This window comes from Homo sapiens, chromosome 4, assembly GCF_000001405.40.
Source record: "Homo sapiens chromosome 4, GRCh38.p14 Primary Assembly".
NCBI lineage: Eukaryota > Metazoa > Chordata > Mammalia > Primates > Hominidae > Homo > Homo sapiens.
In genome coordinates, this window is record NC_000004.12 from 186,978,052 (window position 1) to 187,004,563 (window position 26,512).

General features: G+C 38.7%; 2 long non-coding RNA genes across 7 annotated transcripts in view; one reads left to right on the forward strand and one right to left on the reverse strand.

The window, feature by feature from the left end:
* The window catches only part of LOC102723906 (uncharacterized), a 220,555-nt gene that overhangs the window by 137,390 nt on the left and 56,653 nt on the right, over positions 1-26,512 (forward strand). The window lies entirely within an intron of this gene.
* LOC124900876 (uncharacterized) lies at positions 1,439-18,387 on the reverse strand. Its single transcript, XR_007058505.1, has 2 exons — positions 18,205-18,387; positions 1,439-1,681 (listed from the first exon to the last, which is right to left on the reverse strand). It is a non-coding gene; the product is annotated as an uncharacterized LOC124900876 (long non-coding RNA).

Here is a 26,512-nt window from a genome sequence, read left to right on the forward strand (position 1 = left end):
TCTGGCCACATTTCCATTAAGACCTTGGTATCATCAATCCACATAATCAAAATGGAAAAAGTTGTGTCATGAGGCATGACAGATACTTCAGATTCACTCACTTAAAACTCATTTTAGCTCATTCATCCTTGTTTTCCTGTACATGGTTCTGGAAAGCAAATGCTTGAATTTCCAGTCTGCCTTTCAGCTAACTGTGATCATGGACACAGGTCTGGATTAGAAAATGAAAGCAGAAGTTCCCAAGGAGAGTTTCATTTTCATATTAAAAATGAATTCTCCAGAAAAGGCATTTTACTTTCACCCCCTGCACATTCTTTCTGCTTGCAATGTGAAAGTGATATTTAGAAATGCAGGACATCTTGCAGTCATGAGCACAGAGGGGAAAGCTGTCTGCTAAGAATGGCACCATGGGAAGCTGGGAGCATCCTGCGCTCCTGGTGGCATTGTGCGGTGAAGGACTAGTCTACACTCTTGTTAGTGTTGGGGATTTCTGCTGTTCACAGCTGAGTATTTCCTAACTGAAACCAGTAGAATAATTTTGATTTTTGTATCTAAACTTTGTGGGAGAGCATAAATTCCATCAGATTACCTCAGTTAATAATGAGTAAAATGGGCAGGGCGCGGTGGCTCACGCCTGTAATCCCAGCACTCTGGGAGGCAGAGGCAGGCAGATCACTTGAGATCAGGAGTTCGAGACCAGCCTGACCAACATAGCGAAACCCCATCGCTGCTAAAAATACAAAATTAGCTGGGCGTGGTGGCGCATACCTGCAATCCCAGCTACTAGGATGGCTGAGGCAGGAGAATCGCTTGAACGTGGGAGGCAGAGGTTGCAGTGAGCCGAGATGGCACCATTGCACTCCAGCCTGGGCAACAAGAGCGAAAGTCCGTCTCAAAAAAAAAAAAAAAAAAAAGGTAAAATGAAGAGAATTTCAAGAAGGTCCATTTCAGGCACTATTTTTGTTTTAGCAGAAATTTAATGAAATAAAAAAGTGATGAGAAATTAATCAAGAGTATTCAAGACCTAAGTTTTCCTTTGGTGTTGGTTTACTTGTGGAAGATCCCGTGAATCTGGACTGAATTATACCTGATTCCAGTAAGTTTCAAACTCAACCCAGCTCAATCCAGGCATGTAATATCTCAAAAGGGCTCTCTTTTATTAGTGTTTAAGGTCAAGGATTTTTCCAGGGTTATTAAGTGGAATTTCTGTGACAACTTGAAATCTGGTATTAGAATGGGACTGATCTATGCAGTACGGTGAGTCCAGCTGTATTTTACTTCTTACACTTGGTTTCTGAGAAATTTAAGTACGTTTTAAATTTAGGGCACCATTCAGCATCATCTAGGAAATACCACACTAATGGTGTGAGAGTTTACTAAATTTTCCTCTTTTACTCAGGGTACTTGGTAGCTAGCAATAGAAACCAACTTTGGCTGGTTTAATCATAAATAGATTTTATTGAAAGGATTTTGGGTAATTTACAGAATTGCCAGAAGAGCTGAAGAATCAGACATGGAAAATAGGCAGGCTCTATAGGAGGCAATGCATGGTGACCACAGCCAAACTTCCATCGGGGACAGTCTGGCGGGGTCTTTCTTGTGTCCTGGAATGATGACGGCCAGTGCAGGTCCTGAAGAATGCAGCTGCCGTGGACCCAGTCAGCACCTCTGGTCAACTGCCCTGGAATGAGAAAGCATCCTCACTGCCTCTAGAATGCAATTCTCCTCTAACCCTACTTCTTTGCTGAATTGCTCCACATTCAAAGATGTGGGCATCAGTGTCTGCCTGAATCTAGTAATGAAATTAAAGTTTAAAGCAATGAGAGGTAGACAAAACTGGGTACTTATTACGTTCCAAATACTTTCCAATTTATTCCCATATCTCTGGAATACATGTTTTTTAAAAGGGGTGATGTAAGAATGGGGAAAGCAAAATAATTAAGAAAAAATTATGAAAATAACTGGTTGATGGAATAATTGAACGGAATAAATGGAATAATGAAAGGATGTCAAAGACCTTCGTGCATTACGTGTATATAGCTCTGAAGTGTGTGTATATAACTCTGATGGATGTGTTGAGATTTGGCTCTGAGTGAGGGACTCTTGCAGGAAAAAGAAATAAACATGCACGTTAACTTGCTCTTCTACCCTGTCTTAGGCAATTCATCCAGATGAATTTTTAACTATCCCGTAGTGATGGGGCATCCAGGCCGTATTTTTTAAAATGTGCAATTAGAGTAAACAATTTAGAATCCTGTGCTCACCTTACACTAATAACTTTGCATCAAAATTTATGCAGTTTAGTGTGTTTGGCAAATGACTTGTGCCTTTAGTTTCACTTCCTCGCGGCATTTTCCCTTCCGTTTGGTTAATTATGATTTACTTCTGTTAGTTTCCAAGACCCCATTTCACCGAGTTCACATGGTGTTGTGAGTAATAACTTGACTGTTGTAATTGTCTTCCGGGATTAATCCTGTTTGTGTTGGAGGGTTACAAGCATTCTCACCAGAGGGGATGCTTTGGAAGTTTTGCATTATTCATGTGTAAGGCAAATTCACGAATGTTAAGAGTTGGAAAACAATGAAAACCAAAAATTTGGTCTAAAATCCTTTTTGGAGAACTGAGGAAGACAGATGGTCTGGAAGATTTTTAGTGTCAGATCTGAACTCTAATCAGTCAAGGAGAGAAACTTTCAGAACTGGGTGGTCAAAATGGCATCCTAGGAATTTTGACTTGCAGTCTTAAAGAAGACAGCCTAAAAGAAAAGGAAAAAACGTTCTCACCCTAGAGCATTTTTATGCAAAACGATGAAATTTATAGGAAAATTGGAAACAGTCAATTTCTGAGAATTATATACAGACGGTGAACTAACTGTGGCATAATCATTATTTGTGTTGATACTATTAAACGTTTTGGGGGAATCTGGTTTACTTGATTAAAACCAGGATTCTTTCTTTTCCCCAATGAGCAGATTATTTCCTGCGGATATATGTTCCTGCAGTCTTCGTTCATTGCACTGATAACAAGTGTAATTTCTTTATTGTCTGTTTCTCTAGTTTGTAAGTTTCAGACAGGGGAGTTAGGTCTACCTTCTTCTTCTTGTTCCCCTCTTCCAGCACATATGTACGTGGCACATAGTAAATCTTTCATTATTTGTTGATCAGTTGCCTAACAGGAGCATGGAAGTAAATGAATTATATTTGGAACATTTCATCCTGAAGATACCCACCCAGAGGAGAAGGCAGGGTAAAATTCTAGTCAGCTCAGTCTTAGTTCTTGACTCTTCAAAACTCTTGTTAGTTTTGACTCAGTTCCAAGATTCTGCATCTGGTTTGTGATTGTCCTCTGCAAATCCTTGGAAAGGACCAATCCTCGTGTAGAATAGACTTTCCATAAATATTTATTATGTGGATTTTGCTCATTGTTGACTGATCTGGGGGTCTTGGCTGCAATCTTTTCAAAAGAGTTTGGTGTGAATCTAGTTGACTGGAATCTGGGGTTACCCTGGGCAGACGTTAAGCCTATAATTGGTTTTAACAGAAATATATATAGCATATATATGGCATATATATGTATATATAGCTATATATATATATATAGCATATATATGGCATGTATATAGTATATATATATAGCATATATATGGCATATATGTGTGTGTATATATATATATAGCTATATATACATATATATGTATATATAGCATATATATGTATATATAGCTATATATACATATATGTGTATATATAGCATATATATGTATATATAGCTATATATGTGTATATACAGCATATATATGTATATATACGTATATATACAGCTATATATATATATAGCTGGCATCCCTAGACGTGGCACAGTCTGTCTGAAACTAGAGCAAAGTTCCCTCCTCTGGCTACCCTAGGATGACATAGTCTTTCAAAGTAGGAATATGACAGTATTATATAAATATAACATATTTATTAGCAGTAAGGACTGTAACTTTTCTATATTGCCTACAAAGTTCAATTGAGTGATTATTCCCACGGATCTAGAGATATTTTTAAGGTATTATATAACAATATTGTTATTAGCTCTGACTATGCCATTATTTTTCTAGCTTCTAGGCTTCTGTGTTTACTGTTTTGTCTGAAATATTTTTCTCCTCTTCACCTCAACTCTTCCCCATCCCCACCCCCATAAAAAAACCCTGAGTTACATTCGTCTGCTCTAGGTTCCCATCCTATAAACCACCATTTACTTCCTCGTCATTATGTTTTGCACACACGTATTGCTGCCTGTCTGATTTCCTGCCTCCCTTCCTAGGCCATGCATAAACTGTGTGAGGGCGTGTACTACACCTGTCCTTTGTTCCGAGTACTGGTGCCATTTCTGCCATATAGTTGACAACATCTCTTTATTGGATGAAAAATGAATGAGTGCGTGAACATGTGGCCTAAACAGAGAATGTTTCCGTGTGAAGTTTCTGTACCAGCCAACTATCTTCTTAACAGCTTGGTAGAGTTGGGAAAGGGGCAATAGGAGAAATGCTGTCCCTGTTTCAGCTTCTGGGCCAGACCCTACGACTGACCCCATTTCTGCAATGGCCCCATCACCCGTGCTGTGGGTTTGTGTCATATACACAAGCCTTGTGAAAATACCACAGACCACTGTGAGGCCATTCAACAAAGAACAGATGGATTTCACCTTGAGTGTTGTTTTCCAAAGCACACGTGTTTCGGTGCCACCACGTTTCCCTTGCCCATCATGTGAGCCTCCTCCCTCCATCGTGCTCCTCTTTCTGCTTCCATCACATCAGGGGCCCTGAAGGCGACAGCACTGATTCCGTCCTCTTTGCCTGCCCAGCACCTGGTCACAGATTTGGATGGAGGACAAATAAAGCATAATAGTGTTCTAAGAGCCTTTCCCCTAGCTTGGCAGTCAGCTTCTGACAAGGTCATCAGGTAGGGTGGGGAGGAGGGTGCAGGGGCAAAGGAGAAGCTCACCCCTTGCCTTTGGAGGGTTTGTTGAAAAAAAACATCAACTCGCAGTAAGGCAAATTAAGAAGAGGAAAGGCATACAAATTCATTCACCATGTGCTTGGGGAGAATCACAGAGTGATTCCCTAATTTCCCAATGGGGCCCACACACTTACATAAACTCCTTTCAGAGGAAGGGGAGAGAGAGAATATAGGTAATTCTGTTGAGGGGCATTAAATGACGACCAAGGAAACATGAGTGGGTACTTGAGAGAAGGAACGGCAGAGGGGAAGAGGCAGAGACTGATTTGTAAATGGTTGTCTTTGGAAGTTCAGTGAATCTGAGAGATGGGCATTATCTTGTAAAAAGATTGGGTGAGATCTGGTTACATTCTTCCGCTCCTTTCCTGAAATAGATCATGAGATAACAGGGGAAAAGGAAATATTCTTGAAAGAGAAAATGAGATAACAAGGAAAAAGCAATTCTTCTTCTGGTGGGTCCCTCTGGTCTTCATGAAGCTAGGGAAAAGTGTCTTCCAAGGCCTGTTGTTTTCTAAGGGTTTTAATTAAAAATATTCATTATCCCAGGGAGCCGTATTTTGGGGTGAAAAATCTCTTTCCTGAGGGGGCATACTCTGCAAGAGGGTGGTTGAGTCTCCTGATGGCATCGTTCTCAGAATTTGGGATTGTATGCTCAGAACCTTTGATGCATGTTTTGTAGGTTGTATAAAACCACACATCTGTCCTTTCCAGACCGAAATATCGAGTTCTCCACAATGATCCTCTGTGACACAAGTTACATTTGCAATAGAAACCTATCTTGTATATGAGAAATGCAATCCAGTATTGATTCGACACATCTGGGTTGAATTCCTGACTTGTCCACAGCCAGCGATATGCCCTTGGACAAGCTACTTTATCCCATTGAGACTCTGTTCTCACCTCTACGAGGAGAGTGTCAGAGGCATTTGGACCAGAGCGACTCCATCTTGAATAGGGGCTGGGTAAAATGATGCTGAGACCTAGTGGGCTGCATTCCCAGGAGTTAAGGCGTTCTTAGTCACAAGATGAGACATAGGTCAGCATAAAATACAGGTCATAAAGACCTTGCTGATAAAACAGGTTACAGTAAAGAAGCCAGCCAATACCCACCAAAACCAAGATGGTGAAAGAGTGACATCTGGTCCTCTTCACTGCTCATTATACGCTGATTATAAGGCATTAGCATGCTAAGAGACACTCCTGCCAGTGCCATGGCAGTTTACAAATGCCATGGCAACCAACGTCAGGAAGCTACCCTATGTGGTCTAAAAACCGGTCTAAAAAGGGCAGGAGCCCTCTGTTCTGGGGCAATTGCCCAGCCCTTTCCCGGAAAACTCATGAATAATCCACCCCTCATTTAGCATATCATCAAGAAATCGCCATAAAAATGCGTAGCCAGCAGTCCTCAGGGCTGCCCTGCTTAGGGAGTAGCCATTCTTTTATTCCTTGACCTCCTTAAACTTTCTTTCACTTTATGGACTGGCCCTGAAGTTATAATAAAATCACTGTTTCTTTTCACAACTGGAAGTTGAGATAAACCCGTAAGACCACATTTTAGTTCCCAGGCTAGCATCTTGAGCCCTGTGAGTCTGAGTTCTATTTTTCCCTCCAGTCTTAACTTTTATTGTATTATGGCAATTATGAATTATGAATATTTTGATAACATAATGCATGAATGCACGCTCTTGATACATACTTCAAACGGTAAGGAATTTTGTAAAGTTAAATGGAAGAGTTCTTCACTCAATATCCTTGGCCCAACAGACGTGCCTATGAACTCTGTGGCTTTTCCTCCCTCGTCCTGTTTCACCTCCGCTCCTGCTGTTGCCTCCCTCCTCCTCCCTGGCTCCTAAGTCTTTGAGTAACTCAGCGGCCTTTTGGTGATTGTTCCATTTAGGGGTAGATTCCTCAGAGAGGCCTTGTCCACCCAACGGGAGGAAGTCTGCCTGACCTTACTCCACGGTATTTTAAACCAGAGTATGCTGTTTGCATCCTTACTAAAACTATGCAGGATCATGACTGGCCAGGGCGGCTTGCACCTATAATCCCAGCACTTTGGGAGGCTGAGGCAGGAGGCTCACTTGAGGCCAGGAGTTTGAGACCAGCCTGGGAAACACAGTGAGACCCCATCTCTAAAAAAAGAAAGAAGAAAAAGAACTCTGTTGTAATTCTGTTTGTTTGCTTTGCTTCTTTCCACTGTCTGCCTTACATTCTTGCCTTCTGCATTGTAAGCATAAGAAGGCGGAGTGCAGGATATGCTTGTTCTATATACTGTTGTGGTCCTACTTTTCCTCATATTGCCTGAAGTAAATGTTGGTGGAAAAATTAATACACACACATACACAGATGCATATACAAATACATTTTACTCAGTGCCCCGTGTTATATATATAACTTTGTTTTGAACATAGTAAATCTTAGAGATCTTCCTATATTGGGACATTCAGTGACTGACTAGTATTGCACTGTGTGGAAATACCAATAATTTATTAAATCTTCTCATTGCAAATGGACAAATTAGGTTGTTTCCAATTTTTTATAATCATAAAGAATGAATCATTGACCATCTCAGTCTTGCCCAGACCTTATCTGGCCACCCATGCAGGTATTTTTGTAAGATAAATTCCTATAAGAGGAATGATTGAGTTGAAGGGATGACACAATTTTGATTTTGAGAGATAATCTCGAATTAACTTTAAAAGTTGATGTACCAAATTACATGTGAGCCAGCTGCAATTGTAAGAGTTCTTGTTTTGTAATTCTCAATATCAGCAGATATTATAAATCTTCAAGTTTTGTCAAGTTAAAGGGTAAAAATCCTAGCTATATCTCATTGTTCTAATTTGCATTTATGATTACTAACAAAGTTAAATATTTTAATGTGTTTATAGTCGTGTACTTTTCCTATGAATTGCCTTTCCTTGTACATTACCTTTTTTCATTCATTTTTTCTTAATGATTGCAGAAGCTTTAACCTTTTGATGTTTATTATTTGTCGTTATGTGCATTCCAAAGAATTTCTGCTGATCTGTTGTTTATGATTAACATTTTTGAATGGTATTCTTTCAAATGTAACTAATTTTTTAAGAGCTTTATTGAGATGTAATTGATATATGAAGAACTGCACTGTACTTGAACTCCTGAGCTCAAGTGATCCCCTGCCTTGGCAGCTCGGGTAGCTAGGAATACATGTGCACACTATGTCACCCAGGTCATTTTTAAATTTTTTGTACAGATGGGTTCTTCCTGTGTTGCCAGGCTGGTCTTGAACTCCTGGCCTCAAGCAATACTCCTGTCTCAGACTCCCAACACTATGGGATTACAGGTGTGAGCCAGTGCACCTGGATCAACTATGCATGTTTAATGTATACAATTTGATAAATTTGGGCATATGAAAACACCTGTGATATTATCAGCATAATCAAAGAAATAGACACTGTATTAGTTCATTTTCACACTGCTGATAAAGACATACCCGAGTCTGGGCAATTTACAAAAGAAAGAGGTTTAATGGACTTACAGTTCCACAGGGCTGGGGATGCCTCACAATCATGGTGGAAGGCAAGGAGGAGCAAGTCACATCTTACATAGATGGTGGCAGGCAAAGAGGGAGAGCTTATGTAGGGAAACTCCCCCTTATAAAACCATCAGATCTCCTGAGACTTATTCACTACCACAAGAACAGCATGGGAAAGACATGCCCCCATGATTCAGTTACCTCCCTCTGGGTCCCTCCCAGAACACGTAGGAATCCAAGATGAGATTTGGGTGGGGACATAGCCAAACCATGTAATTCCACCCAAGCTCCTCCCAAATCTCATGTCCTCACATTTCAAAGCCAATCATTCCTTCCCAACAGTTCCCCAAAGTCATAACTCATTTCAGCATTAACTCAAAAGTCCACAGTCCAAAGTCTCATTTGAGACAAGGCAAGTCCCTTCTGTCTATGAGCCTGTAACATCAAAAGCAAGTTAGTTACTTCCTAGATACAATGTGGGTACAGGCATTGGGTAAATACAGCCATTCCAAATGGGAAACATTGGCCAAAACAAAGGAGCTACAGGCCCCATACAAGTCCGAAATCCAGTGGGGCAGTCAAATCCTAAAGATCCAAAATGAGCTCCTTTGACCCATGTCTCACATTCAGGTCACGCTGATGCAAGAGGTGCATTCCCTGGCCTTGGGCAGCTCCACCCCTGTGGTTTTGCTGGATATAGCCCCTCTCCTGACTGCTTTCACAGGCTGGTATTGTCTGTGGCTTTTCCAGGGGCACAGTGCAAGCTGTTGGTGGATCTACCATTCTTGGGTCTGGAGAACAGTGGCCCTTGTTTCTTTTCTTTTCTTTTCTTTTCTTTTCTTTTCTTTTCTTTTCTTTTCTTTTCTTTTCTTTTCTTTTCCTTTCCTTTCCTTTTCTTCTCTCTCTCCTTCTCTCTCTCTCTCTCTCTCTCTCTCTCTCTCTCTCTCTCTCTCTCCCTCTCCCTTCCCTTCCCTTCCTTTCCCTTCCTTTCCTTTCCTTTCATTTTTTTTGACATGGAGTTTCACTCTTGTCATCCAGGCTGGAGTACAGTAGTGTGATTTTGGCTCACTGCAACCTCTGCCTCCTGGGTTCAAGAGATTCTCCTGCCTCAGCTTCCTGAGTAGCTGGGATTACAGGTGCCTGCCACCATGCTTGGCTAATTTTTTGTATTTTTAGTAGATACAGGGTTTTGCCATGTTGGGCAGGTTGGTCTCGAACTTCTGACCACAGGTGATCTGCCTGCCTTGGCCTTCCAAAGTGCTGTGATTACAGGTGTGAGCCACTGCACCTGGCTGAACAGTGGCCCTTTTTTCACAGCTCCATTAGGCAGTACTCCAGTAGGGACTCTGTGGGGGCTTCAACCCCACATTTCCCTTCTTCACTGCCCTAGCAGAGGTTCTCCATGAGGACCCCACCCCTGCAGCAAACTTCTGCCTGGACATTCAGGCATTTCCATACATTTTCTGAAATCTAGACAGAGGTTCCCAAACCTCAATCCTCGACTTCTGTGAACTTGCAGGCTCAACACCACATGGAAGCTGCCAAGGCTTGGGGTTTACATCCTCTGAAGCAACAGCTTGGGCTGTACCTTGGCTCTTTTTAGTCACAGCTGGAGTGGCTGGAATGCAGGGCACCAAGTCCATAGACTGCACACAGCAGAGGGACCCCGGCCCTGGCCCATGAAACCATTTTTTTCCTCCTAAACCTCTGGTCCTGTGATGGGAGGGGCTGCTTCAAAGGTCTCTAACATGCCCGGAAGACATTTTCCCCATGGTCTTGGGAATTAACATTAGGTTCCTAGTTACTTATGTAAATTTCTGCAGCCAGCTTGAATTTCTCCTCAGAAAATGGGATTTTCTTTTCTATTGCATTGTCAGGCTGCAAATTTTCCAAACTTTTATGCCCCTTTCCCCTTTTAAAACTGAATGCTTATAACAGCACACAAGTCACCTCTTAAATGCTTTGCTGCTTGGAAATTTCTTCTACCAGATACCCTAAATCATCTCTCTCAAGTTCAAAGTTCCACAAATCTCTAGGGCAGGGGCAAATTGCTGCCAGTCTCTTTGCTAAAATATAACAAGAGTTACCTTTGCTCCAGTTCCCAACAAGTTCCTCATCTCCATCTGAGACCACCTCAGCCTGGATTTCATTGTCTGTATCATTATCAGCCTTCTAGTCAAAGCCATTCAACAAGTCTCTAGGGAGTTCCAAACTGTCTCACAGTTTCCTGTCTTCTTCTGAGCCCTCCAAGGTGTTCTAACATCTGCCTGTTACCCAGTTGCAAAGTCGCTTCCACATTGTTGTCTATCGTTGCAGTAGCACCCCACTCTACTGGTACCAGTTTACTGCATTAGTCTGTTTTCACGCGGCTGATAAAGACATACCTGAGACTGGTCAATTTACAAAAGACAGAGGTTTAACGGACTTATAGTTACACAGGGCTGGGGAGGCCTCACAATCATAGCAGAAGGCAAGGAAGAGTAAGTCACATCTTATGTGGATGGCGAGAGGCAAAGAAAGAGCTTGTGCAGGGAAACTCCCCCTTATAAAACCATCAGCACTTGTGAGACTTATTCATTACGCTGAGAACAGCTTGGGAAAGACCTGCCCTCATGTTTCAATTACCTTCCACTGGGTCTCTCCCACAACACATAGGAATTTGAGATGAGATTTGGGTGGGGACACAGCCAAACCATATCAGACACCAACACCTTCTAATGTTTTCTTGTGTCCTTTCCCCTCATTGTTGTAGTAAGAACACTTAATGTGAGACCTCTTAACAAATTTTGGAATGCACCACATCATATTGCTAACTATAGGCAATATGTTGTAAGATAGATCTCTAGAATGTATTCAACTAGCATAACTAAAACTTTACACCAATTGAACAACAACTCCACATTTCCCCTACTCCTGAGTTTCTGGGAATGACTATTGTATTCTTTGATTCTATAATTTTGAGTATTTCACATCCCTCATATAAGTAGAATCATGCAATATTTGTCCTTCTGTAACTGGCTTATTTTATTTAACATTATGTCTTTTGGGTACATCCATGTTTTCACACATAGCAAGATTTTGTTGTTTTCGAAGGTTGAGTAATATTCAATTGTATTATACACCACATTTTCTTTATCCATTCATCTGTCAATGGACAATCTTTTATTGAACAATTTATTAGTTTTTAGTGGTCAAAGAACAAGATCATGTCCTTTATATGATTTATATGTTTTGGTTGTTATTTTAGAAGCCCTTCTCCATTTCAGTAGTATAAATATATGTATTTCTGACCTTTTTCTTCTTATACTGTTAGTTTTTCAGTATAACATTGAACTTTTAAAACACCTTGACTTTTTTTCTGAGTATGGTATGAATTAGGGATATTTGTTACTTTTTTCCCATATTAACAGTTATTCACCTAATTATACTTTATTCAGTTGGTCTAGACTTTTTCCTACATATTTGCCATCTTTATTATAATTTAAATCAGCATATACACTTGGATTTATTTTTGGTCTCTCTACATAGGGCTATGTATCTATTGTTTAATTCTTAGAGATTTATGTGGATATGTGGTAGGTATATGTCTTCACTCACTGCGCTTATTTTCAACATTTTTTTCCATTATATTTATTTGTTTTTCTCTTATAGATGAACCTGAGAATAATCTGTCAAGCTGCTGATAAAAATTCTTTATGAAGTTAAAGATTGCACAGAACTTACAAATTAAATTGGGAGAATTGAATTTCCTGTAATATTGAAGTTTCTCAACCAAAATATTGTTACCCATTTCTATTTTTCACTTTTTAAAAAATGTATGAAACAACATTTATAGCCTTTTTAAATAGAACTTCTACTCTTCTCATTAGGATTATTTCTCATTTTGTGTTTTTTTGCTGCTATTTTGAGTTTTTTTTTTCTCTATTTCATTCTAATTGATGGTTAGATGGTTAGTAGATGGTTAGAAAATTATTTATTTTTATATGATGATATTGAATCTAGCCACTTTGAACTCTTGTGCCATTTTATAAAAATTTGTTTTCTTAAGTATCTAGAAAAATAATGAAATAGTGTCTGAAAATAATAAATTTTGCCTCTGTTTTTCAATATTTTTACTTTTCTCCTCATTCTATTCTTATTAGTGATGAAATATATATATATGTATTCATTGTCTCTCATACAAAAAGTAGCCTTGACAATCTGAAAACAAAATAGATTTGCATTAAAATTGGAACCTAAAATGCAAGGATACTGAAAGTTAGGTCACTTTAACACCAATTGGTGCCTTTAAGATAGTATTAAAAATATACACATGGTATTTGCCAAATTTTGAATATAGGAGCATATTGTGCTTTGTACATACTTTAAAATAGCCACAGATGGCTGGGCGAGGTGGCTTTTGCTTGTAATCCCAGCACTTAAGGAGGCCTAGGTGGGCAGATCACCTGAGGTCAGGAGTTTGAGACCAGCCTGACCAACGTGGTGAAACCCCATCTCTACTAAAAATACAAAAATTAGCCGGGTGTGGTGGTGCATGCTTGTAATCCTAGCTACTCAGGAGGCTGAGGCACAAGAATCGTTTGAACCCAGGAGGTGGATGTTGCAGTGAGCCTAGATAGGGCTGTCAGCCTGAGTGACAGAGTGAGACTCTGTCTCAAACAAACAAATAAAAAAAGCCACAAATGCTAATAAAATAATACATTCCTAAAAGATACTGTTTAATAGTTTCTCCTAAAAGATACTGTTTAATAATTACTCCTATTATTCTAAGAACATTGGCATTAGAATTTAGAACATAATTAACAGACTCTTCTTCCAAAAATGTGTAACAATGAGAGGTAATAGTGAATGGCAAATGTACAGTGTGAATGAGAGGCAAGAGTACCAGGACAGACCTTGTTTAAATTATGTAATACATTTTAAAAATCCACAGAGAATAAACATGAGCTTAACTAAATAAAATGACTTCTGTTTGTTTAAATTTTTTGGCAGATAAAAATTAAGTGATACAATAGTCATTCTGGGTGGTGTGAGATGGTGGTATCTTATTGTGGTTTTGATTTGCATTTCTCTAATGATCAAAGATATTGAGCTTTTTTTCATATGCCTGTAGCTGCATGTATTTCTTCTTTTGAAAAGTGTCTGTTCATGTCCTTTGCCCACTCTTTAATGAGATTGTTTGTTTTTATTCTTGTAAATTTATTTAAGTTCCTTATAGATTCTGGATACAAGACCTTTGACAGATGCATAGTTTGCAAATATTTTCTCCCATTCTTTATGTCTGTTTACTCTACTGATAGTTTCTTTTGCTGTGCAGAAGCTCTTTAATTTGATGAGATCCCATTTTTCAATTTTTTGTTTTGTTGCAATTGCTTTTGGAGACTTCAATAACAGACGCTGCCAAGGTTGTGGAGAAAAGGGAACACTTATGCATTGTTAAGGGGAGTGTAAATTAGTTCAACCATTGTGGAAGCAGTGTGACAATTTCTCAAAGAGCTAAAAATAGAACTGCCATTCAACCCAGCAATCCCATTACTGGGTATGCACCCAAACGAATATACATTATTCTGTCACAAAGACACATGCATGCAGATGTCCATTGCAGCACCATTCACAATAACAAAGACATGGAATTGGTGTAAATGCCCATCTATGGTAGATTGGATGAAGAAAATGTGGTACATATACCCCGTGGAATACTATGCAGTCATAAAAAAGAACAAGATCGTGTTCTTTGCAGGAACATGGCTGGAGCTGGAGGCCATTATCCTTAGCAAACTAATGCAGGAACAGAAAACCAAATACTGCATGTTCTCACTTATAAATGGGAGCTAAATAGTAAGAACACCTGTACACCAAGAGGGGTACAACACACACTGGGACTTACCTGAGGGTCAGAATTGGGAGGAGGGAAAGGATCAGAAAAAACAACTATTGGGTACTGGGCTTAGTACCTGGGTGATGAAATAATCTGTACAACAAACCTTCATGATATGAGTTTACCTATATAACAAACCTGAACATATACCCCTGAACCTAAAATAAAAGTTATAAATAAATAAATAAAATAAAATTCAAGTGTATGAAACATTTATTATTATTATTATTACTATTTTTTAAAGAACCTGCTGGGAATGTATTGCAAGTGCGTTGTAACTGTAGTTCACCTACTTACCTTAACAATATTGAGGTTTTCTGACTAGTGAACATGGTATATCTTTCCATTTATCTAGGTTTTCTTTAATTTCTCTCAGCAAGTTTTGTAGTTTTCAGTGTACAGGTATTGTACATATTTTGTTTAACCATATGTAATTTATACTTTGTATGCTATTTCCAATTTTCATTAATAGCATATAAAAATATAATAGATTTTTAAATATTGACCACATATCTTGTGGCCTTGCTAAATTCATGTATTAGTCCATTTTTAAAAATAAATCCTATTCTTTTAATTTTTTTATAATTTCTTATAAATTCTATTTTTCCTGCATAGAAGATCTGTCCTCTGTTATTTCATCCTTTCCAAAAAAAAATTCAGTGATGTGATGTTGTCCATGTTGCTCTGAGGGCATCACTACGATGGAAAGCACATCCTCCCGATTTTCAACGTGGAGAGATGTCCCATGTAACCTATTCCTTGTGAAAGCAACCCAAAAGTCCTATAGACACTTGCTTTTGGATAAACACAGGAATGGAACCTTCTGCTGTTAAAGTTTGAAACTTATGTTTGTTTTATCTGAGTTCCTTCCTCAGGAAACTACCTTCAGGCCTCTCACAAAAAGCATCAAAGAACTGAACCCAGATCACCACACCGGTTGCCGGACCCCTCATTCACCAGGATCGCTTCCTTGCTCCTCCCGAGTTCCTGTTTTCTTATTCATTCTTACATTTCTTGGCTGCTATATAATCCCCTGGTTTTAATCAGTCAGGAAGATGGATTTGAGACTGCAGCATCTCCTCAGCTGCAGCACCCAATTAAAGCCTTCTCCCTTGGCAAGACTCATCGTCTCAGTGACTGGCTTTCTTTGCAGTGAGTGCAGGACTGAGACTGAACCCTTGGTGTTTTGGTAACAATTGTTCAACAATCATTTGTTGTGACCCTCATCTTTCCTTCTCTTTTAATTTTCTTGAGCTCATATTTTAATTTTTATTTATTACATGATATTCCAATTTAATTATATTGAATTAATAAGTTATTCTGTTGATGCCCTCCAGAATATTATCTCATGGTATTTATATCATTTCACTTAATGTCTCTTCATGAATTAGGACTCACAGCTTTGGAACTGCACTGAATGGTTTTGAGCTTGGACCATATATCATTCATTCATTTTTGGGAGTTCACTTTAGTGTGCCTCAGGGTGGGAATAATGCAACTTTAATTCATGATCTTTAAAGGAAGCCCTTTGGATCGTATATTGATGATAGGATGAAAGGATCTCAATAAAGCAGAACTTGTTTGAGATTAGGTCACATTTCATTTCAAAATTATTAGGTTGAAGTTGCTGATTTAGTGGGATATTGTATCGGTTGATGTTAAAATGATCTCGTGTGTTAGATTTTGATAGCATGGAGGAACAGAGATGGGCAATCATATCCTTCTGTATTTCCTTCTTGTGACAAGATATGACCATGGAAGCACTGATGTACTAAGGGAAATAGTGTTTCATCAACTGCACTGAGCTATCCAGAGTCAGGAAATATAATAAAAACCATTAATATTCCTTGCTAAAGGGATTTCTATTTATTTAACTGCTAACTCAGTTATTTTAGTAACATAATGGTTAAATCAGTAGAGGTTCTTTTCTGCAAATTATATTTGCAGGGAGTCAGTAAGATAGATTTTACCTTCTTGGGAAAATGAGTCATTGGGGAAATATCTGTAGGTCTTCTTTGGAAGAATATTCTAGAGACTATTGTGATCAAGCATCTACAAACTTGTGATAGATTTTGTTGAATCAATTTCAGTGTGAGATCTTTAGAGAAGAGTAGAAGAACTATTCTGTTAGGATAAAGATTTAATTTGATAGAGAGATCACAAAGAGCCACAATGTCAAAAGATTCAAGATAGTTTGCACCTAACTTAAAATTGGAACAGTAGTGTAAAATATAAAAACACTGTGCTTAATATGTTTCATATGCTTTCTATGTTAAATATATATATTTAATATGCTGAATATATAGGAGGTTCTATAAATAGTTTTCATTCTCAAATGAAATCTTACATTGTAAGATAGAAAAAAAGACGTAGGCCTCATTTGCATTTGAAAATAGAAATGAAGAAATGAGAAAATGAATAATTCTAGTATCAGACTGTGTTTCTTCTGCAATGGATAATTACTTTAAGAAAAACGAATTTTCATTTGAATTGGTGAAAAATTGATAACTTTTCCTCACTTTTTAAAATGTAAATAGAGTGGTTGGAAACTAAAAAAAAAATCAGTAAGATCAGCTTTCTCTGCACCTGTGTCAGCAAAACATAAGGAATTCTGAGGGGAAAAAGTGAAACGTTACTTAACATCATCTATTAAGGAACTTTTTCTCTTAAGTTCTTTAATAAGTTGCTGTTTAGATTGCAAGAGGATGTTTAATATCCAGAAGCATAACCCTGAAATCTCAAGACTTCGACTTACAATTGCCTACAAAAATATTCTAATTTACTGATTGTAATGTTTTCCATATACAATTAAGAAACAGTTTAGCACATTATTATTTTAATTTTGCATTCTTCAATGTAATTTTACATCACATTTATTGATTATAGACTTGTGTGTCTTTCTCATTATTTGGCTTCACAGTAGTTCCCTAGGATGCTTTGTCTGTAAAGCCACTTTAAAATGTCATCCACATCACAAATGTTACAAATCCTATTACACAGTTCACCCAAGATTCTGCACACGTTTTTCCAGTGTGCAATGTAGCAAAAATAACTGAAATACTGTATAGTGGATGGATTTGGCATGGAAGTCATCCCAAAGATCTGCTGGAGTATAACAGGGCTTCAGACTGGATCAAATAGGAATTCTCAGTATTTCAATAGAATAAAGGTAAATTCCACACAAGGCAGTTTTTCCCCTCCATATATAGTAAAGATTTAATGACAGTCTCTGGAAAGATTGTACTGGCAATGTTTCAAGTATCACATTGTCTTTTAGGGATTAATTGTTCCTAAATGTGATACGAACAAATTTCCTCAGAGCTCCTACGTCTTCTAAAGATAGCTGTAATATGTGCTATGCTTGACTGCAAGGATGCAAAATGACTTTTCCATATTCAACTGTCTCTTCGGCACTACTCAAATTTTAACGAGTAATGGATTTTTGTGACTAAAAAGGTAGTTGTATGTTGACTGGACGACAGTAAATGTTTCCATTCTAATTAGAGAATAGCAGAATGGGAAGTAACCATGGAAGTAATTTGACTGATTGATTGGTTTTTGCTTTATCAAGTATGTGAGATAATACATACAAAGCTTTGCTTAGGAACTCCTAATTTCAACATCTCCATCCCTGCCGCATATCCCATTCCGGATTCTGTTTCTCATCCTCTGTCTTCCCACCCCATTCCTGGATTTAAACTCTTTGAAATCAATTCTCCCTAAACACCTCTGAGATTGAGTGGAAAAGCCTAGAAGGCAGTAGATCCTTGAGATTGTGGCCTTGAGGGTTTGAGGGAGACAACACTTACCAAACTTGAATTTCCCTCAACTCTGGTTGGGTTCCTTGTTGGAGCTGCCCTTGTGCGGAAAGCCAGTGGATTAGAGTGCAGTGGGAATCGCAGGGAAACGCCTCTGAAGGCTTATCCATCACAGTGGTTCTCAAAGTGCGTTCTGATGGTCCTTTGAAGGTTTCTGAGTAGCTTTCAGGGGATCTGCAACTCAAAACAAGGCTTAGGGTGATACCAACATTATTTACCCTTTTCACTCATTTTATAGCAATGGCACAAAAGCAATGATGCATAAAACTGCTGGTGCCTTAGCACAGATCACGGTAGTGGCACCAAGCTGCAGTGCTGGTTACTGTATTCTTTATTGCTATACATGTGCGTTCAAATAAAACAAAACAAAACAAACAGAACAAAGCAATCTGCTAGCTTTGCTGAAGAATATTCTTGATGAAACAATAAGAATCATTAATTGTATTAATTTTGGTCTCGGAGTACACATCTAGAAGAAACGAGAAGTGTAAATAAAGCACTTCTGCTTACTGAATACAGTGGATGACCTAAGGAAAAGTCTCCAACCAACTGTTTGAGGACAAACTATCTTATTCAGACCAACTATGGTTATTCAGACTTGCTTATTTTGTAGACATTTCCTTGAAAATGAAGTGAGCTTTTCACCTGAAGTAAAATCACTAATAATGTGTGTTGCCAGCGAAAATTAGAATTTTGGAAAACTTGTGTCTGCCTCTGTGAAACTGACTGCTTCCTAATACAGATGTTTCTTATAAGATCAGTAGTAATATCAAAACGTGATTTTGTCTGTATTGATGAATGAAATGTGTCCATGTTTGGAAGATCTATATATTTCAGTAAACCAATATTTTCTTATAAGGTCAGTAGTAACATCAAAACGTGATTTTGTCTGTATTGATGAATGAAATCTGTCAATGTTTGGAAGATCTATATACTTCAGTAAACCAATATTTTCCACATGACCATGTATGATATTGCAGAAATCATGCCCCAGTAAAGAAGACCTGAGCCAGCCGTATGCTAGAGCAGCGGATTTTAATAGAACGGAGCACAAAGAATCATGGATATGGCTTCATATCCCACATCGCAGCTGTCTTTTAAAAACTGTGAATTGTCAAGTTTTGGTGTAGTAGTAAAGAACCATATCCACAGTTATCTGAAAAGGCAATTAAAATACTTCTCCTGGCTGGGCGTGGTGGCTCATGCCTTTAATCTCAGCACTTGGGAGGCCAAGGTGGGCAGATCACGAGGTCAGGAGATGGAGACCATCCTGGCCAACAAGGTGAAACCCCATCTCTACTAAAAATACAAAAATTAGCCGGGTGTGGTGGCGGGTGCCTGTAGCCCCAGCTACTCAGGAGGCTGAGGCAGGGGAATTGCTTGAACCCAGGAGGCAGCAGAAGTTTCAGTGAGCCAAGATTGGCCACTGCACTCCAGCCTGGGCGACAGAGCAAGACTCCGTCTCAACAACAACAACAACAACAACTTCTCACTTTTCCTCACACATAACTGTGTGAGAATGCTTTTGTTCATACACATTAAACAAAACTTTTCAAATTTTCCATTAGGCCAGACACTAAGGAGATTTGCGAAATGTAAAATAGTGCCACTCTTCTTATTCATTTCTTTTGAAAATATGGTTATTTTGCATGAGAATATATTATATGTATTAACATGTAATGCGTTACCATACTATTGTTTTTTTAAAATAAATAATAAATATGTATACATTTCTCAATTTTGAATATAATAAATATTGGTAGATATGATCCACATGAACAGAAGCCTTTGCCTTTGCAGTCTTCAGTATTTTTTAAGAACATATAGGGGAGATCCTTAGACTACATAGTTTAAGACCAGCTGCTTTAGAGAAATACTTCTGGAAAAAATTCTACAGCAAGTAAAAAACAAAAAACAATAAAAACCCAAACATCTCAATTTGCTATTCTGCAAAAAATAATTTTGTAGCCTTTTCATTATTTTTTGTAAATAAAATTTTGCAAGTTATTTGCCATAAGAATGAAGATATATATACCTTCTGATTCAGTTCTAAAAGATTCCTGTAATTATAATTGTGCTAGATAATATATAATAATAATTGGATTAATCAAATTGTCATGCCTCACAATTTTTAACTGAATTTTTTGGTGTCTATTAATTCTTTAAAAAATAAATGTATGCTATGTTATGACACCCACCTTGCATTCCACAACACCATTCCATTCTGTATTTCCAACAAGATGCTCAGCACTAAACAGCATAGAGTAGGGTGTCCCTCTAAGCCCTGGCCAGCGAGGAGGCCTGCTGAGAACTCACCTTGTGTGTGGGACGGTTGTTTGTTTTTTGCTTGTTTCTTTTGGAGCTCCAGATCCCTGTCTGTGCGTGAGTTCCCATCCGCCAGCTGCTGTGGGTGCTGACTGCACAGGGGCTGCAGCTGCAGCCTTGGAAGGACAGCCCTTGGTCTAGGGGAGCTGCCTTGTGCTGGAGGCGATGGTGCCGTTCCCAGTGACCCGCAGCCAATGGCTGATGGATGCAGGTATGAAAGGCCCCTGGCCTCCTTGGAGGACCTACTGTCGGTAAGACCTACCCTCTGGTGCCATTTTTATGCTCCACAGCTCTCCAAGCACCCGGCAGGGGCTGGATCACAACTCAAATCACACTCTGCCTGGCTTTTCCCCTTCCCTATTCTCTCCCCCACTTTCCCCCAGCTTCCTCCTGGGTGCAGTTCCTTAATAATAATCCTTCAGAGCCAGAGACAAGAATTTTTGTTCTGAATATCCCACCTTAGATGACTGAACTGAGACATAATTCCGTTTGTTCTTGGGGGTGAGGGATTTGGGCCAGCGGATGGGGCGTTTGAATGGGGACCAATGAGGGTGTGAACATTCCATTATAAACATCATTCTTTCCTTTTATATCCTTAACTAGGACTATACTTTTATAACCTAAACTTTTGTCATCATTGATGTGATAAGTGTAAGGAATTCATTGTAAATGTGAAGGCTTATACCTTTTTGAAAACTTGCACTGAAAGAGTGGTTCTCAACTGGGATGGTTTTATCCCCGCGGGGGGGACATTTGGCAATTTTTGATTGTCACAAATGGGGGAAGGGCTGTAGTGCATAAGGGCCGGGGATGCTGCTACACATCCTACTAAGTACAGACACAGCCCTCTAAAATGAAGAATTATCCAGCCCATAATATCAACAGTGCTAAGCCTAGGAAATCTGATTGAAAGTAAAAAAATTTTCCAATATAGTGTTCATTAATAATGGAGTGTAGCCTTTCCACAAAAACTATTTGTGTAACTCAAATGACAGAAATAAAGACATAATTATTTGTCCTCCTTAAAAGATATGATTGTATCTGTTTTCTTCTTGGTACATCTCATAAGGAGGGAAAAAAAACACTTCATGCTAGAAACTATTCAGCTTCATTGAGTTTCCCCGGAAATTGACAAGTGATGAAAGCAGAGCTGTTTGTGTTCGAGTTCCTGTTTATGTCAAATGAATTTGAATAAAACAACCAGAGCAGAAACTTGAAACAAGTACTCCTCCCATATGCTCATGTTTTCATTTAAGACAAAGTGTAAGAGAAAATGTTGAAAGGCAACAGCCTAATATTCTGGCCATAATATTCCTGGAATGTTATGGGGCCATTCTCACTCAGCACTTGGCATATTTTCACCTTTAGCAAAATCGTCTTTGTGCTTATGAGTAGTTTGTGAAATAACTGCATTAAGGACTTTTCTGTTCTGGTTTAAGTTAAAAAATGATTACTTTGAAGTATCACTATGTACTATATCTTAAAAGAATAAAACATTAATAGAAATCAATTAATTATCCTTTGACTTTGACCTGGAATGGCTACTGCTGAGTGCTGTGTATTGATCACAGAAATCTTGAACTTCTCTTTTAGTGTTGTTAGTGGGGCTACCGGCTATCGGGTGCATGTAGATATTAATTTTCTCTAACTCATTCTTGTCACAGTGATATTTCCATTGCATTCCATCCTGTTCGGCTCAAGGCATTTTCAGACTCTTTGAAAATAAAATCTTCTTTCTCTTCTCTATAAAATCTTATCTACTTCTAATTTTTTGTCTTTACTCCATACTATCCCCAAATCTGAGAGCAAAAATTCCTTTTGGTTTCCTGTTCATGAACATATTTGTGTATGAACTTTCTTTTACAGTAAAATAATTGGCAGTGTGCCTTTTGGCTCAAGTTTGTCTTTTGTTCTCCGGCTTTGTTATCTCTCTTGGCCCAAGTTCAAGCATCTCCTTCAGCATCTTCTGTGGTGTGTCCTGTCTTTGCAGGTAGGAACTCAAGGTGACTGGTTTTAAGCCAAATATTCTCACCAAAAGTAGAATTGACCCATAAATACTTTTGATTCTATTCTTTTTTTTTTTTTTTTTTTGAGACGGAGTCTGGCTCTGTCGCCCAGGCTGGAGTGCAGTGGTGCGATCTCGGCTCACTGCAAGCTCTGCCTCCCAGGTTCCCGCCATTCTCCTGCCTCAGCCTCCCGAGTAGCTGGGACTACAGGCGCCCCCCACCACGCCTGGCTAATTTTTTGTATTTTTAGTTAGACGAGGTTTCACCGTGTTAGCCAGGATGGTCTCGATCTCCTGACCTTGTGATCCGCCCGTCTCGGCCTCCCAGAGTGTTGGGATTACAGGCTTGAGCCACCGAGCCCGGCTGATTCTATTTTTAAAGAAGCTCTTCTTTAACTTCTCTCATTTACAGTGGACTACATATTTTGTAAGGGCTTCAGTAATGGATGAAGCATGAATATGTTCCAGACATTTTAAAGGGAAATATACTGAAAATCGAGTCGTGGTTGCATTTTTCTCCCCCTTCATAAATGGCAATAAATTTCTCAGTCTTGTTTGTCCAGTGAATTTGAAAAATTCGCCCAAAAAGTACAAATGGAATGATGGTCTATTTCATTGTTTTCAAAATTTTTTTTTTAAACAGAGATTTTTAAAATTTAATTTAATTTAAAGTTCCGGGGTACCTGTGCAGGTTTGTTACATAGGTAAACATGTGCCATGGTAGTTTGCTGCACCTACCAACCCATCACCTAGGTATGAAGCATGGCATGTATTAGCTATTTTTCCTGATGCTCTCCACCCGCCCCCCACCTAGTTCCTTCCCTGACAGGCCCCAGTGTGTGTTGTTCCCCTCCCTGTGTCCATGTGTTCTCACTGTTCAGCTCCCACTTATAAGTAAGAACTTGTGGTGTTTGGTTTTCTGTTCCTGAGTTAGTCTGCTGAAGGTAATGGCTTCCAGCTCCATCCATGTGTCTGCAAAGGACATGATCTCATTCCTTATAGCTGCATAGTATTCTATGGTGTATATGTACCACATTTTCTTTATCCAGTCTATCATTGTTGGGCATTTGGGTTGATTCCATGTCTTTGCAACTGTGAATAGTGCTGCAATGAACATGTATGTATGTATGTGTGCAAGTATCTTTATAACACAATGATTTATATTCCTTGAGTATATACCCAGTAATGGGATTTGTGGATCAAATGGTGTTTCTGGTTCTAAATCTTTGAGGAATCACTAAACTGTCTTCCATAATGGTTGAACTAATTTGCATTCCCACCAACGGTGTAAAAGCATTCCTATTTCTCTGTAATCTTGCCAGCATCTGTTGTTTCTTGACTTTTTAAATAATCACCATTCTGACTGGCATAAGATGGTATCTCATTGTGGTTTTGATTTGCATTTCTCTGGTGATCAGTGATTTTGAGCTTTCTTTCATATGTTTGTTAGCTGCATGTATGTCTTCTTTTTAGAAATGTCTGTTCATGTCCTTGGCCCACTTTTTAGTGGGGTTTTTTTTGTTTGTTTGTTTGTTTGTTTTTTGAGATGGAGTCTTGCTCTGTCACCCAGGCTGGAGTGCAGTGGCACAATCTTGGCTCACTGCAACCTCCACCTCCTGGGTTCAAGCAATTCTTCTGCCCCAGCCTCCTGAGTAGCTGGGACTACAGGTGTGCACTACCATGCCTGGCTAATTTTTGTATTTTCAGTAGAGACGGGGTTTCGCAATATTGGCCAGGCTGGTCTCGAACTCCTGACCTCATGATCCGCCCACCTCAGCTTCCCAAAGGGCTGGGATTACAGGTGTGAACCACTGTACTCGGCCACGGTTGTTTGTTTCTTTCTTGTAGATTTGCTTTAATTCCTTGTAGATTCTGGACATTAGACCTTTGTCAGATGGATAGGCTGCAGTAATTTTCTCACATTCTGTAGGTTGTCTGTTCAATCTGATGATAGCTTCTTTTGCTGTGCAGAAGCTCTTTAGTTTAATTAGATTTCATTTGTCAATTTTTGCTTTTGTTGCAATTGCTTTTGGTGATTTCATCATAAAATCCTTGCCTATGCTTATGTCCTGAATGGTATTGCCTAGATTTTCTTCTAGGGTTTTTACAGTTTTGGGTTTTACATTTCAGTCTTTAATCCATCTTGAGTTAATTTTTTGTATAAGGTGTAAGGAAGGAGTCTAGTTTCAATTTTCTGCATATGGCTAGCCAGTTCTCCCAGCACCATTTATTAAATAGGGAATCCTTTCTCCATTGCTTGTTTTTGTTAGACTTGTTGAAGATCAGCTGGTTGTAGATGTGTGGTTTCATTTCTGAGTTCTTTGTCCTGTTCCATTGGTCTATGTGCCTGTTTTTGTACCAGTACAATGCTGTTTTTCTTACTATAGCCAGAGGTACAAGGAGAAGTTGGTACCATTTCTTCTGAAACTATTCCAAACAATTGAAAATGAGGGACTCCTCGCTAACTCATTTTAAGAGGCAAGCATCATACTCATACCAAAACCTGGCAGAGATACAACAACAACAAAAGTTTCAGGCCAATATCTCTGATGAACATCGATGCAAAAATCCTCAATAAAATACTGGCAAACAGAATCCAGCAGCACATCAAAAAGCTTATCCACCACAATCAAGTCGGCTTCATCCCCAGGATGCAAATCTGGTCCAACATACACAAATCAATAAGTGTAATTCATCACATAAACAGAACTAAAGACAAAAAACACATAATTATCTCAATAGATGGAGAAAAGGCCTTCAATAAAATTCAACATCCCTTTATATTAAAAACTCTCAATAAACTAGGTATTAAAGGATCATATCTCAAAATAATAAGAGCCATTTATGAGAAACCCACAGCCAATACTAATATCATACTGAATGGACAAATGCTGGAAGCATTCCCCTGGAAAACTGGCACAAGACAAGGATGCCCTCTCTCACCATTCTTATTCAACATAGTATTGGAAGCTCTGGCCGGGGCAATCAGGCAAGAGAAAGAAATAGAGGGTATGCAAAGAGGAAGAGAGGAAGTCAAACTGTCTTTGTTTGAAGATGACATGATCCTATACCTAGAAAACTCCTATCATCTCAGGCCAAAAGCTTCTTAAGCTGATAAGCAACTTCAGCAAAGGCTCAGGATACAAAATCAATGTGCAGAAATCGCAAGCCTTCCTATACACTGACAACAGACAAGCAGAGAGCCAAATCATGAATGAACTCCCATTCACAATTGCCACAAAGAGAATAAAATACCTAGGAATACAGCTAACAAGGGAAGTGAAGGACCTCTTCAAGGAGAACCACGCTGCTCATGGAAATCAGAGAGGACGCAAGCAGATGGGAAAACATTCCATGCTCATGGATAGGAAGAATCAATATTGTGAAAATGGCCATACTGCCCAAAGTAATTTATAGATTCAATGCTATTCTCATTAAACTACCATTGACATTCTTCACAGGAGTAGAAAAAACTGTTTGGAAATTCTTATGGAACCAAAAAAGAGCTCGCATAACAAGGGCAATCCTAAGCAAAAAGAACGAAGCTGGATATGTCATAGTACCCAGCTTCAAACTAAGACAGATTATGTCATACTACCCAGCTTCAAACTAAGACGGATTATGTCATACTACCCAACTTCAAACTAAGACAGATTTGCAGCTTGAAATGTTTACAACCTAATGCTGCCAATCCTTAATGTCTTAAATACAATGAATTTTTGTAGTGCTTTTCGAGTTCACAATTCGAAATGATATAAAACTGGATTACAGACAATTACATTTCCCATATTATTTAAAATATGCACTGGTGCTACAAAATTTTTCTATAATGATCATTATATATATGTAATATTATATAAGTGTGAAAGTATAATATTATGTATGTCATATATAATATATAACCATAAAAGTAGATTTTACATTTATGATTAGCTAAAAAATTTTGAGACAGAAACTCTGCGTTTTGCA